Raw genomic sequence first — 5644 nt, 5'->3', positions numbered from 1 at the left:
GACAGAGTCTCACTCTGTCACCTAGGCTGGAGTGCAGTGGCGCGATCTCGGCTTACTGCAACATTTGCCTCCCGGGTTCAAGCGAGTATCCTGCCTCAGCCTCCCAAGTAGCTGGAATTACAGGCGTGAGACATCATGCCTGGCTAATTTTTGTATTTTTAGCAGAGACGAAGTTTCGCCGTGTTGGCCAGGCTGGTCTCGAATTCCTGACTTCAAGTGATCCACCCGTCTTGGCTTCCCAAAGTGCTGAGATTACAGGCATGAGCCACCGTGCCTGGCCTTTTTTTTTTTTTTTCTTTCTTTTTTGAGAGACGGGGCCTTGCTCTTGCCACCCCGGGCTGGAGTGCAGTGGTGCAATCATAGCTCACTACAGCCTCAACCTCCTAGGCTCAAGCAATCCTCCCGCCTCAGCCTTCCAAGTAGCTGGGACTACAGGCATGTGCCACCATGCCTGGCTAATTTTTTAAATTTTTTGTAGAGTCGGGGTCTCACTATGATACTCAGGCTGGTCTGAAACTCCTGGACTCAAGTGATTCTCCTGCTTCAACCTCCCAGAGTTCTGGGATTACAGGCATGAGCCACCATACCCTAATGTTTCTTGAATACTCATTTGCTAGGTGCTTAGGAGAACTTTCACAACATCTCTGGATGGTAGGTATTGTCCTATTGTTCTATCCATTTATCAGGTGAGAAAACATTCTCAAGCTTTACCTCCTTACAAAAGTGGGCGAGAGCCACGTGAAAAGATGTTCAACATTATTAGCTACTGGGAAATGCAAGTTAAACTACAATGAGATATCATTACACATCTATTGGCACAGTAAAAATAAAAAAATAGAGATAATGCCAAATGCTGGTGAGGATGTGGAGGACTGGGATCAATCAATCATTGCTGGTGGCAATGTAAAATATAACAGCCATTCTGAAAAAGATATGGCAGTTTCTTACGAAATTAAATATATGTTTGCCATAACGACCCAGCAATTATACTTTTGGGCATTTGTCCCAGAGAAATGAAAACTTACATTCACACGAAAGCCTGTACATGAACGTTCATAGCAGCTTTATTCATAACAGCCAATAATTGGAAACAATCCAAATGTCCTTCAAAAAGCAAACAGTTAAACAGTGGAACATCCATACTATGAATTACTAGTCAGCAATAAAAAGGAACAAGCTATTGATACATGCAACCATTTGGATGGATCTCAAGGGAATTATGCTGAGTGAAAGAAAAAGCCAGGCCTGAAAGGTTACCTACTGTATGATTCCATTTCTATAGCATTCTTGAAATTACAAAATTATAAATGAAGACCAGATTAATGATCGCTGCAGATCAGAGAGTAGGGGAGGGAGGCAGGTAGATGTTGCAATAAAAGGACAGCACAACAGACCTCTTGGTGGTAGATCTTGACTGTGGCGGTGGCCACACAAATCTGTGCACATGATGAAACTACATAGAACTAAACACACAAACAAGCTCACATGAGTGCATGTAAAGCTGGCAAAATCTAAGATTGGTGGATGGTATCAATGTCAATTTCCTGGTTGTGATATTGTACTACATGTATGCAAGATGTTACTATGGGGAAAGTTGAGTAAAGTGCTCTGTGATCTCTATTATTACTTTTTCTTTCTTTCATTCTTTGACAGAGTCTCACTCTGTTGCCCAGTCCGGAGTGCAGTGGTGCGATCTCGGCTCACTGTAACCTCCGCTTCCCATGTTCAAGCAATTCTTCTGCCTCAGCCACTTGAGTAGCTGGGATTACAGGTGCATGCCAACACTCCCAGCTAATTTTTGTATTTTTAGTAGAGATGGGGTTTCGCCACATTGGCCAGGCTAGTCTCGAACTCCTGACCTCAAGTGATCCACCTGCCTCGACCTCCCAAAGTGCCTGGATTACAGGCATGAGCCACTGTGCCTGGTCTGTGATCTCTAGCATTTCTTAAAACTGCATGTGAATCAACAATTGTCTTAAAATAAAAATGTGTGTGTGTGTGTGTGTGTGTGTATGTGTGTGTGTGTGTTTTGGAATGTCAGTGAGGGAAGTGGATGGAGAGGATGCAGAGGGGAAAAGGTAAGGACTTGCCCAAGTTCACACTGGGTGATGGAGCTACATACTCAGGCTCATAACCTCTGCTTTGAGCCACCACCCCATCTGACAGAAAACTGTTATGACCTTCACTTCTGGAATTTCCCCTTCCTCTTTCCAAACAAGCCAAGATTACAAGGCCCATGCTCTTACTCACACCCAGGGTAGGGTGTGTGAGTTCTGTACCCATCAGTACCACAGATAGGAGGGGTCCAAGAAGGCTGGGAGCCACATCAGGTCTGAGTCCTTTTAGAGGAATTAACATAGACATTGAGAGACAGATGCTGTAGCTCTGAAAGGACCATTGAAACTGAATTTTCCAAGTGCCATTTTCCCCACCACGTAGAAGTAGTGTGCCTGAGAATAAATTAAACACAGAAAATCAGAGGCCGCAGATGGAGGAAGAGAGGCAGAAATCTGATGATGAAACATGAGCATCGACATCTCCTTGTCTGGGTCTTTTTTCTATATCACCTACCTGTATTTATATCCAAAGCATCCACTTCTGGACTTCTTAGGTATATCTCTGCCTCCTGGGTTCAAGCGATTCTCTTGAATCGCTTGGTATTTCCCAGCCTTCTGACTAGCTGGGACTACAGGTGCATGCCACCACATCTGGCTAACTTTTGTATTTTTAGTAGAGTTGGGATTCACCATGTTGGCCAGGGTTGTCTTGAACTCCTGACCTCAGGTGATCCACTTGCCTTGGCCTCTCAAAGTGCTGGGATTACAAGCTTGAGCCACCACGCCTGGCCCACCTTGCTTGCTATTATGCCTCCTAGCACTCTGCCCACCAGTCCAAGCTCTGCTCAACAACGGGAGTCATTAGTGAATCTATGACCCTGGAATGCCAAGACCTGGCCAGCTCCCCAGATATTTGAGGATTCCAATCTGGCATTCCCTCTTCAGAGACCCTCTGTGGGGTGCCCTGAGCTCTGTCTGGGGAGAGGGAAAGGGAGGGCATGTCCTGACGTGGGAGTAGCTCCCCTGGGCTGAGGAGTAGCAAGGCACTGATTTACAGACTTCTTTTTTTTTTTCTTGGAGTCTATTTCCCACTTCAGTTGTCAGCCCATCTCCAACATGATTTAAATTGGGAATCTGAATATGTAGATTTTCAACAAGGTTCTGACACTGGCTGTGGGACAGGAGGAAGTCACCTAATCACCAGTGTCCTCACCTGATGCCTGGGATTTGACTCCCACTGATGAAGGCTCACTGTGGGAGCCTGGTGGCCTCTGCCACTAATGACTGGATGAAAACAAAGCTTGAAAGTCATAGTGCTTCACTAAGGTCTTCGTGGAATGTTTAAGGGCATGGCTGGGTTCTGGGAGATGCTCTGCAGGTTGAGGAAGAGGGAAGCACAGGGCTTGGTGAGCTTTGAGTAGGTAAGCACCAAAAGGTACACTCAGAGGGATCCATACTTGCACCTACCTGTACAGTGGCTGTTCTCTTCCCTCTTGTTGATCTTACTAAGGAGGACAACCTTGAAGTCCCCTCCCCAAATCATCATCCCCTGATTCCATGTTTAGATGACTATGTCAGGGGTAGACGTGTGCTTGGTCAGGAGATAAGTCCCATCTTACCCCACTTCACCACTTCTCTCTTCCTCCCTTCATCCTATCCCATCCCATCTCCCTCCTCTCTCCCCCTGTTGGCCACCCCCATCCCTCCCACTTCAACTCAAGCTCCTCTCACTCCTCTCTTCCACTTCCCCTCTGCTCCATTCATTTCTTTTCCATGTCACTGCATTCCGCTCACCTCCCAGCAGCACAGACTCAGAGCAAGACAGGAGTCTTTTGGGATGTCTTGAGCCTGGGCTCTTACAGATTACAAGGCCCATGCTCTTACAGTCAGGGTGGGGCATGTGAGTGCTGAACCCATCAGTCCCACAAGACTGAGGAGGGGTCCAGAAGGGCTGGAAGCCATGTCGGGTCTGAGTCTTTTTATAGGAATTAACACAGACATTGGGAAAGAGAGAGACCCTTTAGTTCTGAAGGGGCCATTGAAACAATTTTCTATTATCTATTAGCGATACTCCTCTAATGACTTCCACTCAAACTACAGCATGTGCGAATGATCCAGAAGAGTGGTTCTCAGAATCTCAAACCAAACCAACAGCAGTTACTCTTGCCAGGTACTGTCCTAAGAACGTTGATTCTTTTAAACGAGTGAGGCAGATACGAATGTTTTCTGCATTTTCCAGATGAGCAAACAGAGGCACGGAATGCTAAATAACTTCCAAGGGCAAACAGCCAGAGTAGAATAGCTAGAAATTGAACCCTGGTGTCCATAGTTTTATCCACACTCAGTAGCAATGGTGAATGTCTCTATGAGACGGTGAACAGCCCAGGCGTGGTGGCTCACGCCTGTAATCCTAGCACTTTGGGAAACCAAGGCGAGTGGATTGCTTGAGGCCAGGAGTTCAAAACCAGCCTGTCCAACATAGTGAAACCCCGTCTCTACTTAAAAAAATACAAAAAATTAGCCAGGCGTGGTGGCACACGTCTGTAATCCCAGTTACTCGGGAGGCTGAGGCAGGAGAATGGCTTGAATCCGTGAGGCGGAGGTTGCAGTGAGCCGAGATCGAACCACTGCACTTTAGCCTGGGCGACAAGCGTTAAATTCCATCTCAAAAAAAAAAAAAAAAAAAAAAAAAAAAGAGAGAGAGAGAATGAACAAAGGCTGTTTTTTATTTCCTACCTTAACCAAGTATGTGTGATGTTTAAACGTTTGCGGGACAAATGGAACAGGAACGTCTATGTCAGGAAACTTTGCCTTTGCCACTCTCTGTGTTCAGGTGGAGCTGCCCTCACCCCGGGCACCATGGGCGGCCACAGACCAGTTCTGTCTAGTGAGGGCCCATCTGCTCCTGGCCATAGTGACTAATTCAGTGATGGGCACTTGACACAAGCCAGGTCAACAATATTTGATTTGGGAGTTTTGATGGCCCAAGGCAGTTAGAGAGCTAGATACTAGTTGGCCTGGGTCATGTGGTCAGTTCTGAACCAATCACTGTAGAGAAAGAAAGGAAATGGGATATTATTTGTTGATTGGCCAGGCCCAGGTCATGTGCTCAGCTCTGAACCAATCATTGTAAAGAAAGAAAGGAGAACGAATAATGGCCTCCGTGGGGAGGTCCTGAGCTCATCGTAGACTCCATTCAACTGCATGGACTGAGAGTAGGAGAGGAGCCCATCCCCAAAGAAAAGTTGGGTGCTTACCTACCAGAGGATGAGGGAATGAATGCTGGGAGCGTGGAGACGAGCTGTTACTCCATCACTCCTACTCCCGCTCCTGTGATCCTAGCCTGGGCCTGCCTGGTGTTTGTGGGTGCTGGGGTCTGACCCTGCCCAGGGCTGGACTGCCCCCTTTGTCAGCGTTCCCTTTGGAGCTGAGGTTGTTCCCTCAAACGCCACGCTGGCTTTCTCTGAGCTGAGGAGAGCAGGTCACAGATGCCTTGAGGAGCACACTACCACACTGTGTCTCCTGGCTGGCCCTGGGCAAAACCACCAGAGCTCCGGGACTCAGGTGCCTGCAGGAAAGAGGCGATG

At 47.2% G+C, this 5644-nt stretch overlaps 1 long non-coding RNA gene across 1 annotated transcript; it reads right to left on the bottom strand.

Moving 5' to 3' along the window:
- Positions 1–1049: 1049 nt before the first annotated feature.
- LOC112268176 (uncharacterized) lies at positions 1050–5113 on the bottom strand. Its single transcript, XR_002957913.2, has 2 exons — positions 4794–5113; positions 1050–2450 (listed from the first exon to the last, which is right to left on the bottom strand). It is a non-coding gene; the product is annotated as an uncharacterized LOC112268176 (long non-coding RNA).
- Positions 5114–5644: the final 531 nt, after the last annotated feature.

Source organism: Homo sapiens, chromosome 16, assembly GCF_000001405.40.
Source record: "Homo sapiens chromosome 16, GRCh38.p14 Primary Assembly".
Classification (NCBI taxonomy): Eukaryota; Metazoa; Chordata; class Mammalia; order Primates; family Hominidae; genus Homo; species Homo sapiens.
This window is presented reverse-complemented; position numbering and strand designations above follow the sequence as displayed.